The 22,730-nt window shown below is 43.0% G+C and overlaps 1 protein-coding gene across 12 annotated transcripts in view, besides 5 other annotated features; it reads right to left on the reverse strand.

Annotated features, from left to right (window-relative positions):
* SMG6 (SMG6 nonsense mediated mRNA decay factor) overlaps positions 1–22,730 on the reverse strand; it is a 243,947-nt gene that overhangs the window by 142,633 nt on the left and 78,584 nt on the right. The gene's annotated exons all lie outside the window — the stretch shown is intronic.
* Positions 10,927–12,126: an enhancer, noted in NCBI's record as "BRD4-independent group 4 enhancer chr17:2116692-2117891 (GRCh37/hg19 assembly coordinates)". NCBI's record gives its function as "activates an origin of replication core promoter dependent on BRD2, P300/CBP, MED14 and CDK7 cofactors, and independent of BRD4, by STARR-seq in HCT116 cells {active_cell/tissue: HCT116}" and the evidence as "EXISTENCE:reporter gene assay evidence [ECO:0000049][PMID:35650434]".
* Positions 12,481–13,329: an enhancer, noted in NCBI's record as "heart enhancer 8". NCBI's record gives its function as "activates a minimal c-fos promoter by transgenic reporter assays in zebrafish embryonic heart {active_cell/tissue: heart(embryonic)}" and the evidence as "EXISTENCE:transgenic organism evidence [ECO:0001131][PMID:20075146]".
* Positions 13,332–13,381: a silencer, noted in NCBI's record as "silent region_7987". NCBI's record gives its function as "represses an Ori minimal core promoter by ATAC-STARR-seq in GM12878 lymphoblastoid cells {active_cell/tissue: GM12878}" and the evidence as "EXISTENCE:reporter gene assay evidence [ECO:0000049][PMID:35858748]".
* Positions 13,692–13,901: an enhancer, noted in NCBI's record as "active region_11479". NCBI's record gives its function as "activates an Ori minimal core promoter by ATAC-STARR-seq in GM12878 lymphoblastoid cells {active_cell/tissue: GM12878}" and the evidence as "EXISTENCE:reporter gene assay evidence [ECO:0000049][PMID:35858748]".
* Positions 16,374–17,310: an enhancer, noted in NCBI's record as "H3K4me1 hESC enhancer chr17:2122139-2123075 (GRCh37/hg19 assembly coordinates)". NCBI's record gives its function as "activates a minimal SCP1, AML or CMV promoter by ChIP-STARR-seq in naive H9 embryonic stem cells {active_cell/tissue: H9 hESC(naive)}" and the evidence as "EXISTENCE:reporter gene assay evidence [ECO:0000049][PMID:30033119]".

Here is a 22,730-nt window from a genome sequence, read left to right on the forward strand (position 1 = left end):
AGCCCGGAAGTTCAAGGCTACAGTGAACTAAGAACATATCACTGCTTTCCAGCCTGGGTGATAGAGCAAGACTGTGTCTGAAAAAGGAAAAAAAAAAATAGAGTAATGACATTTAGAAACACATTAGTCTGACCCTTCACTTGAACTGTTAAGAGTTCATAACTGGAGGCTAATTTGATAAAGAAAAGTAGACATACATGAGTACCCAGTAGGTAACAAAGCCTTGGACAAGGTGTTTTGCGTATTTTATCTAACACTCAGAAAACCCCTGAGAATTGGCACTGATAACCTGCTTTATGAACAAAGAAACTCAACCTCAGAGACGGTAAGTAAACTTTCGTCATCAAGGTCACACAGCTGGCAAGTGGCTGAGTAGAGAATTCTCGCCCTCCATCAGGTTGATTCCAAAGCTCTGTACAGCATTACCACACAGCTGCTGCCTTCTGCAGGTGAGACAATGATCTCCAGAAGTGCTAGGCCCCCTCCAGAGGACACCCTGGCTTTCCCTTCTTCTTTATATAGGACTCCAGGGCCAAGAAATGTCCTGGGGGCTCTATCAATACATCTTGGCAAGAAAGACAGCAAACCATCTACTCTCTACAAGAAAAAATGAAAACACTTCTAAATGGGTGCTTCCCTTGTTCCAGGAAATACCCATGCAGTTTCAGAAATGGTACTCCAATAGATTTCCTGGAAAATAAATAAATAAGTAAGTTGCCAGTCAAAACACACTTTGGCCATTTCCACCTTAGTTGTGTCTCTGGATTGATATTTTTGTTACTTACAGGTTACTGTCTGAGCCCAGAGTTATTCAATACACATCCCCTCTTGGGCAGGACAGAGCTGCTGCCAGCAGAATAGCATGCTGGCACTGGACGAGTCCCTTAGTAATGGGGCCCAGGAGAACGAGGGCCTGCCATTCCAGCATCTCATTTGGAAGAGTTACAAGCAGATCTTGCAGGACAGAGTTTCTGCTTCTACACTGCTTGCCAGACGTTTTGGGAAGCTTGCCTCTCTCCCAGTATTTGAGGAAAAGCAAAGGAAGAGTAGAAAAGCATGGCAGGTCTTTAATTAAACAAGACAGGTAGTCCCTATGGAATCCCATACAGCAGATATGAGGTGTCCTGTGTCAAAAGTTATTTAAGGTTGTGGAGGAGAAGTGATATGAAAGAGGCTTCCTAAGAGGCATACCCATTAGCCAATCTAGAAGGAAGTTTTCCTGTTAACAGTCAGGAGGGAGAAATATAGCTATATCACTTTTAATAAAGCAAGGAGAGATTTGGCTGCTGATTCAGACACACACCTTGAAACCCACCTCTGCTGGCGTGAAGCTTCAGGAGCACTTTGAGCCAGAAGTAAAAATTAGGGAGGGATAATGCCTGCAGACACCCTGATTCAGAGAAACTCCATTGACAGGGCAGGCAGAGGGGCAGGGAAGTGTTCTGCTTCCATTTTTACAAATTAACTCAATTTCTTTTCATTCTGTGGCTTCCTGAACGATTTTTTTTAAGAGATGGGGTCTTGCTCTGTTGCCCAGGCTGGAGTTGAGTGGCATGGTCATAGCTCACCACAGCCTTGACCTCTCAGGCTCAAGCAATCCTCCCACCTCAGCCTCTGAAGTAACTGGGACCACAGGCATGTGCCACCATGCCCAGCTAAGGATTTTTAAAAGTCTGACAGTGTTTGTAAACAACGCCAAAAATAAAACAATTCCGAGATAGGTGAGACAGAAAGGTACCTAGAATAAAAAGGACCTCTTGGAGGCCTTCTGAGAAGTTAGCTTTTTCAGGAAGCTTCCAGAATGTAAAGATTAGAGTCATCAAACAAACTTTGAGGGGTCAGTACTGAAAAATAAGACCAATGATAAGGCACAATTTTTTGGTGGTTACCTTGTGAATATCCAGATCTGCACATTCATTTGACTCTGCTCCAGAAACTCATCCCAAAATGGTTCCTCAAGGCCTCAGAATCCATGATCAATGTCCAAACCAAACTGCGAACGTAATGACTTCATCCAACCCCACCCACTGTGGTGCATCTAGTTTTAAAGTAGAGGTCAGGAGAATAATAAGCTAGATAAAGCAGTTATGCCAAGGAAGGAAGTGAGAAAGCAGCAATGAATGAAGGTGACTAGAAATGTGCTAAGGTGCCAGCTAGTCTCCTGACCTAGAAGCTGTGGAATCGACATACCTTTTAATAATAATGCTTCCAGCTGGGCATGGTGGCTCACGCCTATAATTCCAACACTTTGGGATGCGAGGTAGGCGAATCACTTAAGCTCAGGAGTTCCTGGCCAGCCTAGGCAACGTGGCAAAACCTCACCTCTATTAAAAATACAAAAATGAGCCAGACGTAGTGGCACGTGCCTATAACCCCAGCTAATCAGGAGGCTTAGGAAGGAAGATCGCTTCAGCCTGGGAGGCAAAAGTTGCAGTGAGCTGAGATCATGCCACTACACTCCAGCCTGGGCAACAGAGTAAAACTCTGCCTTAATAGTAACATAGCCCTTCCAAATTTGTACTCAGTTGCTGGACTGGTCAATTTGTCAATACACTTACCGAAACCAATATACATTGTTTGAAACCTGTATGTATCTAGTTTTTGGTTTTTTTTCTGAGACTGAGTCTCGCTTTGTCACCCAGGCTGGAGTGCAATGGCGCGATCTCAGCTCACTGCAACCTCCGCGTCCCAGGATCAAGCGATTCTCCTGCATCAGCCTCCCAAGTAGCTGGGATTACAGGTGCTCACCACCATGTCTGGCTAATTTTTGTATTTTTAGTAGAAATTGAGTTTCACCATGTTGGCCAGCCTGGTCTCGAACCCCTGACCTCAAGTGATCCGTCCATCTTGCTGGGATTACAGCAATTACTCCCAAATTGCTGGGATTACAGGCGTGAGCCACCACGCCTGGCCTGTATCTAATTTTAAACTAGATTAAAATTTTTTATATTTACTCTTTTATACCACAATTCACAAAAGATTTGTGACAACTTACAGCAAAATCACATAAAATGAGATAACATTAAAGTAGATTAGAGAATCAAGACCAAGAAAAAGGTAAAAATGTCAATCACATGGATTAACAGCCTACCATAAACGGACTTAAAATTTGACTTAAAATTTCCTGTCAGGCAAAGCAAAAGAGGAAACACCAATAACTGTATAGTTCTCATTATTAGAAAGGAATAAGTATATCAATTCTTCAGGAAAAACAACTCCTTTTTCTCAGCACTGAGTTCTAAAATAACTTTTTAAAGCATGGACTCTATGCAAGAGATAGTATATGAAAAAAGTGAACAATAACCTTACAGATATATAGATAAATATATATGTGTATATATATTTTTTTTCTTCCCAGACAGATGCTAGCTCTGTCACCCAGGTTGCAGTACAGTGCCGCAATCTCAGCTCACTGCAACCTCTGCCTCCCGAGCTCAAGCAATTCCCGTGCCTCAGCCTCTTGAGTAGCTGGGACTACAGATGTGTGCCACCATGTCTGGCTAATTTTTATATTTTTAGTAGAGGTGGCATTTAACCATGTTGGCCAGGCTGGTCTCAAACTCCTGACCTCAACTGATCCACCCGCCTTGGCCTCCCAAAGTGCTGGGATCATAGGCGTGAGCAATTGCACCCAGCCTGAAAATATTTTTTATAACACACAGCCTCTTATCACATGCTGTTAAAAGATACCCCAAAAATAGTATCCTAAAGTTATCTATATGGTGAAACAAAATACATATATATATAAAATTCTAAAAATATTTTTCCAAAACCCATATATAGGAATAAGTTACATATTCATAGATACATGGTGTTTTAAGAAGCTCTATAGGCCAGATGCAGTGGCTCATGCCTATTAACCCCAGCACTTTGGGAGGCCGAGGCTGGAGAATCACTTGAGTCCAGCCTGGGCAACATAGTGAGACCCCATCTCTACAAAAAAAATAAATAAATAAAATTAGTTGGGCAAGGTGGCATGCTCCTGTAGTTCCAGCTACTCACGAGGCTGAGGTAGGAGGATCACTTGAACCCAGGAGTTCAAGGCTGCGGTGAGCTATAATCACACCACTGCACTCTGGCCTGGGCAACAAAGCAAGATCTTGTCTCTAAAAAAAATAATAAAATTTGGCGGGGAGCAGTGGCTCATGCCTGTAATCACAGCACTTTAGGAGGCCAAGGCAGGCGGATTGCCTGAGGTCAGGAGTTCAAGACCAGAGGCCAGCCTGACCAACATGGTGAAACCCCCTCTCTACTACAAGTACAAAAATTAGCTGGATGTGGTGGTGCATGCCTGTAATCCCAGCTACTTGGAAGGCTGAGGCAGGAGAATTGCTTGAACCCTGAAGGCGGAGGTCACAGTGAACTGAAACTGTGCCAGTACACTCCAGCCTGGGCAACAGAGTGAGACACCTTCTCAAATAATAATAATAATAACGATAATGATAATAATAAAACAAATAAAGATGAAAGTAAAATATTTTTTAAAAAGATCTATAAAACTAAATTAAAATAACAATAGGTCAGGCACGGTGGCTCATGCCTATAATCCCAGCACTTTGGGAAGCCGGGGCAGGCAGATCACTTGAGGCCAGCAGTTCAAGACCATGCTGGCCAACATGGTGAAATCTTGTCTCTACTAAAAATCCAAAAAAAAAAAAAAAAAAAAAAATAGCAGGCATGGTGGTACATGCCTATAATCCTAGCTACTCAGGACACTGAGGCATGAGAATCACTTGAACTCAGGAAGCAGTGAGCCGAGGCCGAGATGGTGCCACTGCACTCCAACCTGGGCAACAGAGCAAGACTGTGACTCAAAAAAACAAAACACAACAAACAAAAAACCCCACTAAATTAGAAAATGATCAGTTTTATTTCAAAATTATCCATGATGGGTTTCTTTAAATAGAGGGATACCTGCTATCTAATGCAGTTGTTTAGTCAACATTCTGTACATGACACCTCTGACTAAGGGTCAGAGAAACCCAAATGCAAAAATGCTTTACAGCTGATCATGAACGATCCATCCAGAATGAGGAATGAAGAACTCTAAAGTCCTAAAGAAAAACTCTAGATAAATGAGAAAGTGACATACACTAGAAAAGATTGTTTTAAAAAGATCAATGATATATTAAAATATCTATAATTAAATATATACATATATAAACACAAATGTATGGATATAAAGGGGGAATTGTCTAGATTGTAAAATTTAATTTAGGCACATTTTTGGAATATTTCTACAACAAAAAGTATAACAGTATGCTATAAAGCAAGGGGATTTAAAAGCTACATTTATATTTTAACACTGGTAGCGAGAACAAAGCTCCATAAATGTGGGATTAGCAACCCCCTGCCAAACAGACAGTTTTTAAAGCACCAGTTCAACTTTATTTTCTTGGTGAGACTTCCTCCATTTAGAGGATAGAACTGACCTGCTTCTGCCTGGCTCAAAAGACCTAACAGGTTTATTTATAGACCACTGCCTTGCTTCTTTAAAAGGGCCCCACACTTGCCGGGTGCGGTGGCTCATGCCTGTAATCCAAGCACTTTGGGAGGTCGAGGTGGGAGGATGGCTTAAGCCCAGGAGTTTGAGGCTGCAGTGAGCAATGTTCGTGCCACCGCACTCCAGCCTGGGCGACAGAGGGAGACCGTGTCTCTCTAAAATAAATAAATAAATAAAGGGTCCCACATCAAAAGATGGTGAATGACCACAGTCAAGAGACAAAATAGCAAACCTGCCTCCACACTCCTGAATGGCCATTCTCCTACCCCCACTCTCCACAGTTTACGTCTTTCCTCTCCCTTGCCTAAGTCGTTCCTTCAAGATCCAGCATGTTATCAGACCTGTACTACAGGCCTCCTCCTCTGGATTCTGGCAGTATTTCTACCTGTAGAAATACTGTAACACTCACCAGGTATGTGGGCTCACAGCTGTCCTCGTACAGGATTTACAATTCACCAAGCTGCCCCACTAGCCTAGAAATCCCAACAGGGAGGGGTCCACAGCGCAGACCCCACCAAATCTGAAGTGCTTACTGCAGCGCCTGGGTGTTGAAGCTGATCTGAACGGTACTTCACATGGTGCTGAACCAATTCGTTTCTTTATATTCACACAGTCAGCATTCACCAAGTGGCTACTACAAGTAAGGATCTGTGCTGGGCACTTAGTTTTTGAAGATGAATCAGACATAAACTGGACCTTCAAGGAGCTGAAGTCTAACAGGACTTGCTTATGCTATCAACTATAAATCAAAGAAGAAAGTGAAAAATCTCTTAAGAAGTTTAAAGAGGCATGAAATGACGTGAATGATGAAACTCACTGTTGATATAGTTTGGACAGAAAAAGGTTGCAAACATGAATATAAAACCACTAAAATTATGGTACACACGTATCGTGGGATAGATAGCCGTTAAAAAGCGTAACATGTCCAGGTGCGGTGGCTCATGCCTGTAACCCCAGCACTTTGGGAGGCTGAAGTGGGTGGGTTGCCTGAGCTCAGGAATTCAAGACCAGCCTGGGCAACAAAGTGAGACTCCATCAAAATTAGCTGGGCATGGTAGCATGTGTCTGTGGTCCCAGATACTGGGGAGGTGAGGTAGGAGGATGGGTTAAGCCCAGGAGGAGGAGCTTGCAGTGAGCCGAGATCACACCACTGCATTCCAACCTGGATGACAGAGGGAAACCTTGTCTCAAAAAAACAAAACAAAACAAGAGAGTAAGATGTAAGACAGCTCTATTTGTTTTCTGGTTTTGTATTGAGATGGAGTCTCCCCTCTACTGCCTAGGCTGGAGTGCAATGGTGCCATCTCAGCTCACTGCAACCTCTGTCTCCCGGGTTTAAGAGATCAGCCTCCCAAGTAGCTGGGATTACACGTGCACGCCACCATGCCCAGCTAAAAATTTTTTTTTTGAGGTGGAGTCTTGCTCTGTTGCCCAGGCCAGAGTGCAGTAGCACGATCTCGGCTCTGCAACCTCCACCTCCCAGGTTCAAGCGATTCTCCTGCCTCAGCCTCCTGAGTAGCTGGGACTACAGGTGTGTGTCACCACGCCCCGGCTAACTTTTGTATTTTTAGTAGAGATGGGGTTTCACCATGTTGGCCAGGCTGGTCTTGAACTCCTGGCCTCACGTGATCTGCCCACCTTGGCCTCCCAAACTGCTAGGATTACAGGCATGAGCCACTGCACCCAATCTAAATTTTTGTATTTTTAGTAGAGAAGGAGTTTCACCATGTTGGCCAGCCTGGTCTCGAACTCCTGACCTTAATGACCCACCTGCCTTAGCCTCCCAAAGTGCTGGGATTACAGGCGTGAGGCACCGTGCCCAGCCAAGATAGCTCTATTTGTAAAAATATATGTATACAAAAGTGACACAACAATTAAAGCTACCATTTACTGAACCCTTACTATATGCCAGGCAGGGAAGAGGGTCAGAGAGGCAAGCAATACACAGAAAACAGGTACAGAAAGAGGCCTTCACTGAGACCTTCACTGAGACTTGATCTCAGCTAAAGAAAGGCACTTCCCCCAAATCACCGCACCTTCCCAGGTAACCTACATCCAACTACTTGGTGGGGAGAGAGAGGGGGTATAAAGACTCAGCCCCTTTGACCCAATTTGGGAGTACTTGGAAAGGTTAGCCTAGGTCCAGAGCTCCTTGCTGGACTGGGTAAGCCCTTTGTTATAGCTGCAACACAGTTCAATTTCTCCCTCTGCCCCAATCCAGCTTCCTGCATGCAAATATCCATCTTCACAGTCTGCTTCCTGGGGGGAACTTGACAAGTGAGGGAGAGGATGAACCGTTTTCTTTTCTTTTCTTTTTTTTTTTTTTTTAAGAGATGGGGTCTCATTATGTTGCCCAGTTTGGCCTCAAACTTCTGGGCTCAAGCGATCTTCTTTCCTCAGCCTCTTGAGTAGCTGGGACTACTGGTGTGCATTACTGCAAACCAGCTATGGATGAGTCAATTTTGAATAAACTTGCGATTCCAGGTGAAAATATAGAACAAAAAGTTAGAAATGTGGGCCAAAGTTCATGAAAAAGATCAGGGCAGTAAAGAAATTTTGCGAGGGTGCACAGAGATGACAGTTGAAACGACAAGATTTTACAATACACCAATGGGGAAAGAGAAAGAGGAGGGCAAACGTAGTATCTTTAGTTAATGCTGATATACTGGATGCTGCACGAGAAAGAGGAAACCCAAGAAACAGGCAGAGAGGATGAGCAAACCGAGAGAAAACAGATACAGCATTTCTGGAAATGCTGTCTGCAGCCAACAAAGGCAAAAGCTTTAAAAAAAAATAAAATAAAAAAAAAAGCAAGCTAAGAGCTAAGAAGAAAGACACATAATGAGTGCTTAACAAACCCTTGTTAACTAACTGAGTGGGATACATGACCTGCAGGATGCTCAGCTTTTACACCTAGGTAAGCCAAGACACAGATTAGCTTCTGCTTGAGCAATCTGGAAGAAATCCCCTTCTGAAAGGCTTCTTTCAAGAGCATTCCCAAGGATCTCCTGAACAAACTGCCGGGGTACTTGAGAAGGATCACCATGCTTGACTACCAAATTCCAACCTCAGTCAAACCGATGGACTTTCAAATACATAGAACTTCCTGGAGGAGCTGGATTTTATTAAAAAAAAAAAAATAGAAAAAAGATACATAGAACATGCTATAACAGGATGTCTTAGACTGGACAACAGTTCAAAGGTGAAAGAAAAAAAGAAGTTAACAATCATAAAAAATAAGAAAAAATACATAGACAAATTCTAATACATATATATATTTTTGCTTCAGAACATTTTTTGGGAGGTAAACATTTTTAACAATAGCAACATCATTACTGACTTGAAGGAAAATAAATAACTCTTCTTAGCCTTGGCACCCTAAAGAAAATAACAAAAAGGTGTTATTTGGGCCAGGCGCGGTGGCTCACGCCTGTAATCCCAGCACTTTGGGAGGCCAAGGCAGGCGGATCATGAGGTCAGGGGATCGAGACCATCCTAGCTAACACGGTGAAACCCCGTCTCTACTAAAAACACAAAAAATTAGCCGGGCGTGGTGGTGGGCGCCTGTAGTCTCAGCTACTCGGGAGGCTGAGGCAGGAGAATGGCGTGAACCCGGGATGTGGAGCTTGCAGTGAGCCGAGATCGTGCCAGGGCACTCCAGCCTGGGAGACAGAGCGAGACTCCATCTAATTAAAAAAAAAAAAAAAAAGGGCGTTCTTTGACCTTCAGTCTTGGCTGGAATAAACAGAAAGTAGTTTACCTTCTATGCATAGACACATAGAAGGAATATACATTCTGTTACTGTGCCCAACACGGCTATGCCATATTCTTCACTGACTCACTGACCTTCCCTGTTTCCCTCTGGGTGTGGCTGGGGATCCCCACATCCACATCTCTCGCTCCAACTCTTCCTGCCCAACCTGCCAATCAAAAGCCAAGGCTCCAAGCATCACAGACTCCCCAAGAGCCAGTTTGGTTATATTTCCCACAGAGATCTGAAAACCTGCTGGAGCTCCAGAAGTCAGTACCAATTTCAAATCTGATCAGCATCTCTGAAAGTCACAGTTACCATATAGCTGAATATTTTTTCATAAATTTAATGCCAGCGTGTCTGTTTGGAAACTTTGAAAATACATGTTGTATGGTTTACTGCACTGGAAAAGGTGCCAACAGAGTTTCAAAGGAAGGGAAGTGTATAACTGTTTCCTTTCAAATGCATTTTCCAATGGGATCCATTCAGCGAAAAGGCTGGAACTAACTAAAACATTATTAAAACTGTTATGGAAAGAGACAGGGAGATGGAAAAAGATAGACCCAAAAAAGTGAAATACATAAGCAAGAGTGAGACAGACATACGAGGAAAAAGAAAGGGGATCTGGGCAGAGAGACAGGTTGGACAGGGAAATGGGGTGAGATGGAGTTTTGTCTGGCAGTTGCTGTTCGTGGTTTTATATTGCTGCAGATCAATCGATCAGGACTGCAGTGCTGCTGGCCCAGTGGCACAAGACAAACCACAGAGTTGGCTTTACGTTCGGCACTTGCGAACTGCTGACCTTCAGTTTTCAAACCAAAAATATTCTTTGGTAAACAGTAATACCAGGTTCAGTCCAACCAGTCAAGAGAAAACAAGGACTACTAACCTGAAGTAGCACCCTATTCAGTTACATCAGGCACCAACCCTTCATAGGCATCAACCGGGGATGTCTGCAAACCTGAAACCACACCCTACCAAACTAACTCCAGGTTCTGACTCAACCAACTAGGCAGTGATAACCAGGAATGCTCAAATAAGTGACATGTTTCAAAATTGGCTTAACCGGGACCTACTCAAGCGGGAAGGCCAGTCCACACTCACAGAGCCAGAAACACAGCAATGCTTTCTGAGGTCACATGTGCATGACTCCAGTGGAATCTGCATGCAATGCTCAGGGCAGGGTTTGGCGCTGCCTCACGAAGCCATTACATTTCTAGACAAAGAATTAACAGTTTGTAGTGAGTGGGTTATCTGTTATTTCTTGCTGAATTCATCTAAGCTAGCATGATGCTAAAATTTATCGCCTAAACTGGGATACTTCCGAGAGTGAAGGGGTGTGCTATGAGTAATTCATAAATAGGATCCATCCCTGGGCAAACCAGGACTTACAGTCACCCTGGCCTAAACCATAGGATCTTTTTTCTTCTCTGGGTCAGTATTATAAAACTCTACCTCAGAAGAATCTTTTCAAGAGGCAGAACTGCTCTGCTGAGTGCCAAAGCACTTTCTTTTTGAGCTCCTCCAATGGAGAGGTAAACAAATCAATTAAGTTAACTACAAAAACTAACAAGAAAGATTGAGCTGACAATCAGGATTCTGGAGAAGCTCAAAATTCCAAGCAGCAGCTTCAGAGAAGGGAAATGTGCCACAGATGGAGCTGTGGAGGCTGATCCACCCGGCCTCTCAGCGCTAGGCCCTGATGCCGCAGCCAGCTTCAAACAACAGAATGCAGGGCGGGCAGACGTTGGTGCGAGTTTGCTGAGTTCCAGGCCATCATTCTTGAGGGTGTAATAACCATGGGCTGTAGCACACATGTTGAGGGATGAGGGAAAAAAATAAACAGAGAGACAAAAGAATGAGGATGCACTGCCAATTTCAATTGTGCAGCTTTTATTTTTAAATGCTTATCAAGCTGAGAGAGAGCAGAGTTCTTGGAAAACAAGGTTTCCTTTTTTCCAATGCCAGGGTAAAACACCCTCAAGGATGGGCACTGCACAGACTGTAACAACAAGGAACGTGGCTTTGCATCCTCCCAGCAACAAAGTCTACCACGGATCCCACCCCACTCTGATTTCGGCTCAGCCGAGAACTTGAAATAACGGGCCCACTGCCTCTGGTAAAAACTGCTCTTTTAAAATTTTTTATTAATCTCCAAACTGGCTGTGTTAGAATTACAGCCCATTACCTACCAACTCTCTTCACTAATAAAATAAATTTGTAAAAGCCCTAATTACTACTTTTACTGAACTACACTGTTTGGGGATCAAGTACAGGAAGCTGAGAGTTCAACCATTTGTCAGCCAGGGGATGATGGGGAGAGGACCGGGGGACCTAGAGTCACTAGCAGGAACATAAGGCCCAGAGATAAGTCTCAGAACCCATGCCCAAAAAGAAACAAAAGGTCACTAACCCTGTTTTTGTTCTCAACAGCTCCACGAGGATCCATGCCATCATGGCACTTTGGGAGGCCTGTCACGAGTTACACAGGCCTAGGCTGCCCACACCCCAGCTCAGCAGAAAAAGAGAACTGCAATCCAAGTCAGACAGATCCTGCCTGGACTCTCCGCAGAGAGCCTGGAGAGTCTGACCAGCAAAGAAACAGCAATCTTCCTACCTACCCCACTCTCAATCCCCCCCACCCCAATCCAGGCTCCCGAAGAAGAAAAACAAACAACAACAGAGCAGGCAATTGCACAAGAGCTGCAGAGTGAAGGCGAGGTGGACGGCAACGGCTTCTCGGCTGTGCCCCGTATCTCTTCCCAGAACACTGATGACAAAGCTGGAGACGTTACTCACATGCTGAGCCAGTCAGCCCCTCACCCAGGGCTGGTGCTGAGAAGTCTGACTAGAAACCGGCAGTCAACGCTGACACACTCATTTATAATAAAAGGTGTATATTAAACAAACTAGTCAAATCCTTAAACAAAAAGTAAGGGCAAAATGTGACTGTCATTCTTAATTGTCCATGCAAAATCCTCCCGGTTAAATTCCATGTGTCTCCTGGACTTTGATAAATGTTATTTCTCCTCTCAAGAACATGAACAGAGATACCGCTGTCGAAGTAGCTCTCTTGGAAAGAAACCTGATAAGAAAACCTGCTATGGCAGGTGAGTGAAACCTGTGACGGACACCATTTTGGGGGATGACCAGACTGGAACATAATATTTCACTGAGGCAGAGGGGTCTGTGGTTACTTTCTGCATGCCACATGTCTAGCCCTAAAGAACTGAGGAATGCTCTCGACAGGAAAAACACAGCAGCCAATGCTGCGATACCAAAGCCACAACTCCACGGGGCCCTGGAGCCTCTCAAACTAAGCTGCCAGCTAGGGAGCTAACACTAGCTTTGGATAAAACACAGCTCTGGTACAGTAATTAATTTTTTTCTTAACTAGGATTACATTAATTTTCAAGGACTAATGGAGTCCAGCTGTAATGTGAAGAGTGGCTGCTGATGCACAAAGGCACTTGTGCGTACATTATAAACACACACACACGCGCGCGCACACACACACACAGACCTATAAAAAGGATCTACTATAACAGGATATTTTTAGTTTCTACAATGCTGCACTAAAAATACAGTCCCGGCTGATACATCATGGCAGAACTATTCTCTCTCTGTCCCTTCAGGAACAGTTTAAAACATTTATTTTTGTTTCCTTTTGCGATGGTCAGAGTAGAGAGAGAAAATAGCAACTCATTGATAAGAGGAAACGAGACAGACATGAAAAATTGAAAACTACCTAAAAACTCATGGAGAGGTTTATTTTATTAGTTCTTAATAAATATCTTGCAGATTTCCTCAGGAAATACACCAGATCACATGTAAAATAGTTTGATACTGATGTCAACTGCATCAACATATGAAGTCTATTAGGGTGAAGCCGCAGCAGGGTGATCAGCGTGCTGAAAAACTCCACAGTACTTGTGTGTGTGGGGGGGGATCTCACGGCCTTCCAAATTCTTCGAGAGGTAAAAAAGTCAGCCAAGACGCAGAGAGAGAAAGAGAGAGAAAAAAAGATCCCACATCCTGCTTTCAGCTGCCAGCAATGTGAAGTGCCCAGAGATTAATTCTACGTCTGGCCTGGAAATGCGACTTTAAAGCATGAGGGAGGGGAGTGAGGGTGGGTGGGGGGCGGCGAGGAGGAAAGAGGAAAGAGAAGGGCAGGCTAACCGAGGCTGGCAGCAGGCCACCAACCCCTTCCCAAGCCATGTTTCAATGCAGACAGAAGTAAACCCCTATAGACAGCAGCGCCTCAGCCTGCCAGGGCCTTACACCAGCTGCAGTGCATCTCGCGCTCTCCCTCAGCCCTGAGTGCAGATGTTCCCCGCAGCATCACTTCCGCTACACTTTCTTTTAAAGAAACAGCGCACACATAGAGGTATTTCTGCCTCTTCCCAGTAGGCAGAAATTTTTGGCCTTCAGGGATCTCGGGCAAGGTGGAAACTCAGATGGCAGGTACCACGATGGTAAAGCAGCTACCCCAATCTCCCTTGGAAGGGACCAACCAAGGTATCCAAGGAATGGGGTCAAGAGCATTAGTGAGGTAATAGGAATTTTTTTTACAGATTTGGCTTTCTACTGTCTTCAGAGGGAGAGAGAGAGGTCCCCACAGTTTGGGGCTAAGAAAAGGGGGGGAAAAAGTAGGCTGAAGATTTAAACCGTGATTTCTCAAAGCAGTCTACTGTAACATTACCATCTCAAAGGGATTCTGATGACTTCATCATCATGGAAGTCTTACAGAATTTTTTAAAAATATAATTCTAAGGTATTAACATTTTGCAAGGCACAAATACTTACCTATAAGACATAATTTTTTTAAATCAACAATCTGTTAATTTCTTATTTGCCTAAACTCTTTATACATTTTCAGACCTTAGAAAATCAATCAATCAATCACTGATTAGGCACCTAACTTTTTCAAAATTTCTGGCCCTTTTTTGTGAGAATAAGCATCTAATTTTGGAGTTAGCCTTGAACATTGTTAGGAATTTGCTAAAATATTATATAGTCTCTTGTCCCCATGGAGACATACTCTAGTTGAGGGATTTATGCATTTTATGAAGCTAAAATAATTCCATTTTCAAGATGAGCTAAATATTCCCTAATTGATCTATGAGGTTGTTAGTTCTTCTGGAATGCAGGAAGAGTTAGAAGAATCAGTAATGTCAAAATGTCAAAAAAAAACAAGACAACTGGTATACCCTCAAAACCTAAGTTGCTTCTTTTGAAATTCAAGTTCAAAATAAGAAACAGAATCTTCCTTTATGGGAAGGGGAGAAACACTGGCAATCAGTGGCGAACACATTATGGCAGGAAAGTTTAATTCAACAAACATTTATTAAATGTATTCCATCCACAAGGTACTGGACGTAGAAACAGGTTTGGAAATGGTTAAGTAATTTGCATAACACAGCAAGTAAACAATCAGAATTAGAACCTAGTTTTATCTAATTTCAAATATTTCTTTTTATCATTATAATTTTTAAAAATACATTTACACAATACATTATTACTAAAGTATTGTGATAATTTCAGAAAACTACAAAAATACAGAGAAAAAAGAAAATTTAAAACATGTTTAATTCTACCATCTTAGAGAATCATGGGTAAGTTTTGATGGATATCCATCAGTCTATTAAAATTAATATATGTATAATATATATTATTTTACCAAAATGTGATCAATTGCAAAGTTCATAACCATGAAGCCACACGGTCTTCAGGAAAAGCAGAGATCACATTTTTGGCAGCTGACCACTCCCAACCACCAGAAAACAGAAGAGTCATGGTCCAACTCTAAACTGGGCAGGATTTTTCTATTCCATCTTTACACTTCTCTCTGAACTCTTTAAAGCAAAGAAATTTAAAAATATCTCATTACCCTCTACCATCCTCCTGCACATCACCTAGAGCCCAAGACAGCCAAGTGCACTGGCTCCCCTCAGCCACCTTCCACAGTACTTCCAGAGCCAAAGAATAAACAATGAAAAGGACCGCCGGGCACGGTGGCTCACGCCTGCAATCCTGGCACTTTGGGAGGCCGAGGCGGGCAGATAACAAGGTCAGGAGATCGAGACGATCCTGGCCAACATGGTGAAACCCCGTCTCTACTAAAAATAAAAAAAATCAGCCGGGTGTGGTGGCGCACACCTGTAGTCCCAGCTACTCGGGAGGGCGAGACAGGAGAATCGCTTGAACCCGGGATGCAGAGGTTGCAGTGAGCTGAGATTGTGCCACCACACTCCAGCTTGGGCGACACAGCGAGACTCGGTCTCAAAAAACAAAAACAAAAACAAAAAAAAAAACAATGAAAAGGACCATCAGAGATGGGTAACACCTGTATTTAAATGTTTAAATGTCTGGCTGAGTATGGCACCCTGAGCCCCCACAGACAGCCTACTCTCTTGCTGTTCAGCTCAATAGAAGGTTTAATCCAAGAGCTTTTACTCCAAAAGAATGATGTGCTTCTCCCATAACATTCTGTTATGGTGCAGACAATTCATTCGTTAGTAAAAAAATAAGATAACCAAATAGGCCAGGCGCGGTGGCTCACACCTGTAATCCCAGCACTTTGGGAGGCTGAGGTGGGCAGATCACGAGGCCAGGAGATCGAGACCATCCTGGCTAACACGGTGAAATCCCGTCTCTACTAAAAATACAAAAAATTAGCCGGACACGGTGGCGGGCGCCTGTAGCCCAGCTACTCGAAGGCTGAGACAGGAGAATGGCGTGGACCCAGGGGCAGAGCTTGCAGTGAGCCTAGATCGCACCACTGCACTCCAGCCTGAGCGACAGACCGAGACTCCGTCTCAAAAAAAAAGATAACCAAATAAGGAAACCACATTCTTTCCTCCCTGTAATGGCAAACCAACAAGACTACTCACCTACATACCCATGCCAACCTTCCAAGCTTGAGCTACTCATCACCTGAGGTGCTGGCATGTCATCACCTGAGGTGAGGTGAAAGATTTAACCCTGACAATGTAGTCCATGATGACTCCAAACTTACTCACTCAGAGTGATGTATAAAAATAAGCTAGTTACCCACAGAATGCACAACACCGAGAGTGAACCCTAATGTAAACTACGAACTTTGGGTGATGATGTGTCAATACAGGTTCACTGACTGTAACAAATGTCCCACTCTGGTGTGGGATATTGATAGCGGAGAAGTTTTTATGTTGTGGGAGACAAGAGGTACATGGGAATTTTATGTATATTCTGTTCAATCTTGATGTGAACACAAAACTGCTTTAAAATGTAAAGTCTATTTTTTAAAAGGACAGGTTTTATTCTGCCATTTATTCAACAAATACATGAAGGCCTACATTGTGCCAAAGACTGTAAAAAATTTAAAATGCTTAATGCAGCCAGGCACGGTGGCTCATGCCTGTAATCCCCGCACTTTGGGAGGCGGAGGTGGGTGGATCCCCTGAGGTCAGGAGTTTGAGACCAGCCTGGCCAACAAGACAAAGCCCCATCTCTGCTAAAAATCCAAAAATTAGCCACGCGTGGTGGCGGGCACCTGTAGTCCCAGCTACATCGGAGGCTGAGGCAGGAGAATAGCTTGAACCTGGGAGGTGGAGGTTGCAGTGAGCCGAGATCGCGCCAACACACTCCAGCCTGGGCGGCAGAGCGAGACTCTGCCTCAAAAATAAAAAACAAAATAAGATAAATAAAATGCTTAATGTCTACAGGAAGGTGGTTGCTGGACATTCTCAAACACTGCTAAGAGTGTAAGCTGATACACCTTCTTCAAAAAGTAACCTAGGTCGGGTGCAGTGGCTCATGCCTGTAATCCCAGCGCATTTTGAGAGGCCAAGGTGAGAGGACTGCTTGAGCCCAGGAGTTTGAGGCCAGCCTGGGCAATATAGTGAGGCTTCATCTCTGCAAAATATTTGAAAATCAGATGGGCGTGGTAGCACGTGCCTGTAGTCCCATCTACCTGGGAGGCTGAGATGGGAGGACTGCTTGAGCCTAAGAAGAAGCTTGAGGCTGCAGTGAATGCAATGAACTATGACCACACCACTGCACTCCAGCCTAGGTGACACAGAACAAGACCCTTTATCAAAAAAAAAAAAAAAAAAGAAAAGAAAAAGAAAAAAGAAAAAATAATCTAGCATCATGTATCAAAAGTATTAAGATGCCAAAACCCCTTCACCCAACAACCAAACTTCTAAAAATATAGTATTTATTTATTTATTTGAGACAGGGTCTGGCTGTGTTTCCTAGGCTGGAATGCAATGGCATGATCTCGTCTCACTGCAACCTCCAACCCCTGGGCTTAAGCCATTCTCCCGTATAATTTTCCCAAGTAGCTGGGACTACAGACATGTACCACCACATCCAGCTAATTTTTGTATTTTTTTGTAGAGATGGGGTTTTGCCATGTTACCCAGGCTGGTCTCAAACTCCTGGGCTCAAGTGATCTGCCTGCATGATTACAGGCATGAGCCACCACGCTTGGCCTATTCTAATAAAACAACATGAAACGCAGACAAAAATTTTATGTACAGAGATGTTAATTACAGCTTTATTTATAATACTAGAAACCTGAGAAGAAAATGTTCAAAAAGAGGGTAATGATTAAATGAAAGTTAACATATTCATGTGAAGCCAAGCTCAGCGGCTCATGCCTGTAATCCCAAGACTTTGGGAGGCCGAGGAAGGAGGATCACTTGGACCCAGGAGTTTGAGACTAGCTTGGGCAACACAGTGAGACCCTGTCTCCACAAAAAATAAAAAATTAGCTGAGCGTAGTGGCATGCGCTTGTAGTCCCAGCTACTTGGGAGGCTGAGACAGGAGGATCACTTGAGCCCAAGAGTTCGAGGCTGCAGTGAGCTATGATCATGCCACTGTACTCCAGCCTGGGCAACACAGTGAATATACATAACAATAAAAACATTCATATGAGAACATGATTCAGTTTATACTAGGTTGGTACAAAAGTAATTGCACTTTTTGCCATTACTATTATTTGTATGTAAATTACAAATGTTTACAAAGAATTTTATAGCTTTGTATACTTGTAAGTAAAAATAGTAGAATCAAACATTGTATAGTCAGTATCTTTTCAACTGTGTAAAAACTCCTTGAATATTTATACATCGTATAGGAAAGAATGTCACTGCCAGAAGTTGGTTTCTACTTTACCTTTTTTAGTACTTTCAATGAAACCCAAAATGTTAAATCCTTTAAAAAAAATCATTTAGTTTTCATAAATAGGACAGAATTGCTCCAGTTAGGTGAATGTAAAAATATGATATATGAGTAGGGAAATAAAAAAGTATTTCTAGTCAGGAAGAAAGGACAGAGAGTAAAAGATGAAAGATTCAAGAGACCAGAAAGGACTGAACTTACGCTGTTCTATAGAAATTTACTTTCCAGAGCCCCAATGATATTTACTCCAGGGTTAAGAGCTGATATGGTTTGGATTGTGTCTCCACTCAAATCTCATGATGAATTGTAATTTCCAGTGCTGGAGGTGGGGCCTGGTAGGAGGTGACTGCATCCTGGGGTGGTTTCTGATGGTTTAGCACCATCCTCCTGGTGCTATCTCCTGATGGAGCTCTCGGGACATCTGGTTGTTTTAAAGTCTGTAGCCCCTCCCCCTTCACTCTCTTCCTCCTGCTCCAGCCATGGAAGACGTGCCTCCTTCCTCTTTGCCTTCCACCATGATTGTGATTCTCCTGAGGCCTCCCTAGCCATGTTTCCTGTACAGCCTGTGGAACTATGAGCCAATTAAACTTCTTTTCTTTATAAATTACCCAGCCTCAGGTATGTCTTTATGGCAGTATGAGAAAGGATTAATACAACAGTAGATACCAAAGCACATTTAATGGATTTTACTTTAATGCCAGATGTAAAATATGCATTTGGAAATTATGCTTTCAAGAAAGTCACCTTAACAAAAAACAAGGAAAGACAGTAAGATTATGAGCAGTAACCTAGTTAACAGATGCCCCTGCCCTTGCCATTCAATCTTCATTGTCCAGGCTGACCTGCTGACAGATTATTCTTTTTTTTGAGACGGAGTCTTGCAATGTTGCCCAGGCTGGAGTGCAATGGGGTGATCTCGGCTCACTGCAAGCTCCACCTCCCGGGTTAACGCCAGTCTCCTGCCTCAGCCTCCCAAGTAGCTGGGATTACTACCATGCCTGGCTAATTTTTGTATTTTTTAGTAAAGACAGGGTTTCGCCATGTTGGCCAGGCTGGTCTTGAATTCCTGAGCTCAAGTGATCCACCTGCACTGGCCTCCCAAAGAGCTGGGATTACAGACGTCGGCCACGGCACCTGGCCTCAAATTATTCTTTGACTTGAACTTGATATAACGCATGTTTACTGAGAAGTTACAACAGGTCAGGGACTGTTTTAGATGTTCACAATGTATCAGTGGATAAAACAGACCAGAGACCCCTATAAGCAGGGAGCTTACATTCTTGCAGAATAGTAGAGGAAAATAAATAATAAACATATACACATTAATTATCTAGTATTTAGAAAATAAATCAATAGAATTGGAAGATAAAGAGTGCAGGTTTGGAGTAGAATGCAGCAGTGTTAAATAGGATGGTTGGGGCAGGTCTCACAGAAGTAACATTAAGCAAAGACTTATAGGAGGCGAGGTATTCACCAGACAGATGGCTGGATGCAGAACATTCCAAACAGAGAAAACAGCTAATGCGAAGGGCCAAAGGTGGGAGAGTCCCCAGCTTAGCAGAGAACTTGCAAGAAGGGTAGTGTGGCTGAAGCAGAGTAACCAAGCCATGGGGAGAACAGTCGTGAATGAGCTCAGAGAGAGGCAATGCGGGGGCGGGGGGGGGGGGGGGGGGCAGGAGAAGAGGTCCATATATGAAGGCCTTGTAAATAATGTGGCTTTTACACTGAGTGAAATGGGAAGTCAGTGAAGGATTTTGAACACAGCAGACTCTGTATGTAATGTGTCTGTGTGTGCATGTTTGGGAAGGAACGAGAGAGGTAAGGGGTACAAAAAGAGACCACTTAGGAGTTTCAAGACTTTCTTTCCAAGTTTAAAAAGAAGTTTTATCCACAAGGGGTATTCAGGCCATGTTTGCAAACACAGGTTTTCTCTTCCAATGAGGAATATTGAAGAATGTGTCAATGGCCTACAACTGTATCCCTAGCAGGCATCTGAAAAATAATACTTACGAAACATTTTCCTCTGCTCATTGCCCTGACATGAGTTCTGGGCATCACCCTCTCTCAGGGGAGAGGTGAAAAGAGGTTATGTGGAACAGACAGTGATAACAGGATGACGTCACAGGTGTGCCTCAAAGAAGTCCCTGGTGAGCTGGGCTCATAACTACTCTGCAGTGATTTATTCGACCCTGCCAGCTCCAGCTGGAGAAGAGATGCAGAAAGCTGACACAGCCTAAAGCCCTGGGCAGGCATTATAAGATCTTTCTCCCTGCAGTCCCCTGCCAGCTCCTCCCCTCTTTCAACCACTGATCCTTGCCTCAGAAGCCAAAGTGTGAACAGCACGTGTCCGGATTTCAGAAACCTGCCCAGCAGTTGGAAATTCCCTGCAGCGTGTCAACTGCTACATCTGCTGTTGGCACTTGGGGCAAAGGGATCACACGCGCATATTTTCTGAACATAAGCTTCAAGATATGAGTCTTATATTTGAAGAGGGGACTAAACAAGCCAGAACACTCCAATTACAGTAAATGCATTCCTAAATAGACGACAATCTGCCTTCTGAAAAGGAAACTGAGACATACAAGCAAACCGAATAGCACTAAGAACAGCAGTAGTCAAGAACAAAAGCACAGAGAACCCTGACTAATGGAAAGGATTTCATGGGCCAGCAAGGTTCACCAGATATATAATGTGATGTAGCTGAAACAACAGAGTACTCTTTTCCAAATCTCTAACTCACATCTTTTTGTCAATAAATGGCTCCTATCACTTCAGCTGCAGCCTTTCCTCTCCACTCCTTTGATCTTTCTTCCCCACCCAATTAGCCCTCTAAGTGATATTCTATACACTGGACACCTCTTGGAAAAATGAAAAAATGTGAGCCCAATGACACCATTTGCCATAAGACTGAGCTGTAAATGGGCAGGAGCTGGAAAAGAAACTAATCTTTGGAAGAGCAAACTACATGCCCTTGCCACCCTGGATGTAGGTGCCCAGTCACACTGCTCATGGGCATCACAGGCAGAGCAAAAAAAAAGAAAAGAAAAGAAAGAAAGTCTGAGTAAGTCTGATGGAACAAGGAAATCCCAGCTTCCTCTGGTAGTACGGCAGACTAGACACCTAGATCCATTCTCCCAATCAAACAGCTCATTATTCTGAAAAAAAGAGTATGTTAAACATCTTTTTGAAAAGCATTCGTGAGCTAGTAAAATAAAAGAAAATCCTTTGGTCAGAGATTGAATAAAGATGGGAAACCAGATAGGTAAGTGTGGCATTACAAACAGCCTTTACCCTAAGAACATTTGCTACCTGATGAACTCGAGCTTTGCTTTCCAAGGCTGCATGGACACAGCCAAGATCCTTATCATAAAGCTAGGGTCCCACAAGGCTACACCCCAAATACACCATTTCAGATTATGGAGTCTCTAAAATGCCATGTTGAATATATTTTAGAGAAATAAAAGACAAGCTCACAAGTATATTTGGGAAATAAGAAACCATAAAGAAAGTCAAAGCAGATTTGATTTAAAAAATATATGGAAATAAAAAATTTATTAAAATTAAAAACATTGTCAATGGGGCATATTTAATAGAAGGTTAGATATAGCTATGGAAAGGTTCAATGAACTGAAAGATAGTTAAGGAAATTATCTGGAATGTAGCACAAAAAGAAGGGAGTCAGAAAAATCAAAGAAAGGTTTAAGAGACATCAAAAACTAAGCCTGATGTATGTCTTATCAGGGTCACAGAAGGAGAAGAGAAAGCATGGGGAGATGCAGTCTTTGAAAAAAGACACTAAGAGTTTTCCAAAACTGATAGGAAAACCAACCAACCAACCAACCAACCAACCAACCAACCTCATAGGTTACATGAAGCCCGACAAATACTTCGCAGGAATAATTTTTAAAAATCCAAACCTAGACCAATCACCAAAACTGTGGAACATCAAAGATTTTAAAAAGACCTGGAAAGCACCTAGAGAGAAAAGACAGGCTGCTTTCAAAAGAGAAACAAAACAGATAGCTGACTTTAATCAACAACAGTGAAAGCCCAAAGATGTAGTAACCTATCTTCAATGGGCTGAGCAAAAGTAACTGTTAGGCTAGAATTCTATTACTGGAATAAGGGTAAAATAAAGCATTTTCAGACAAATAAAAAAATGAAGAATATTTGCCTTCAAAAGAACTTCACTAAATACATTCTAAATATAAATAGTATACTTCAGGCAGAAAGAAAATGATCCCAGATAGAGGGTCTGAAATGCAAAAGTGAATTTAACAGTAAATATACAGGTGAGTTAAGGCCAG

Source organism: Homo sapiens, chromosome 17 (assembly GCF_000001405.40).
Source record: "Homo sapiens chromosome 17, GRCh38.p14 Primary Assembly".
NCBI classification, from domain to species: domain Eukaryota; kingdom Metazoa; phylum Chordata; class Mammalia; order Primates; family Hominidae; genus Homo; species Homo sapiens.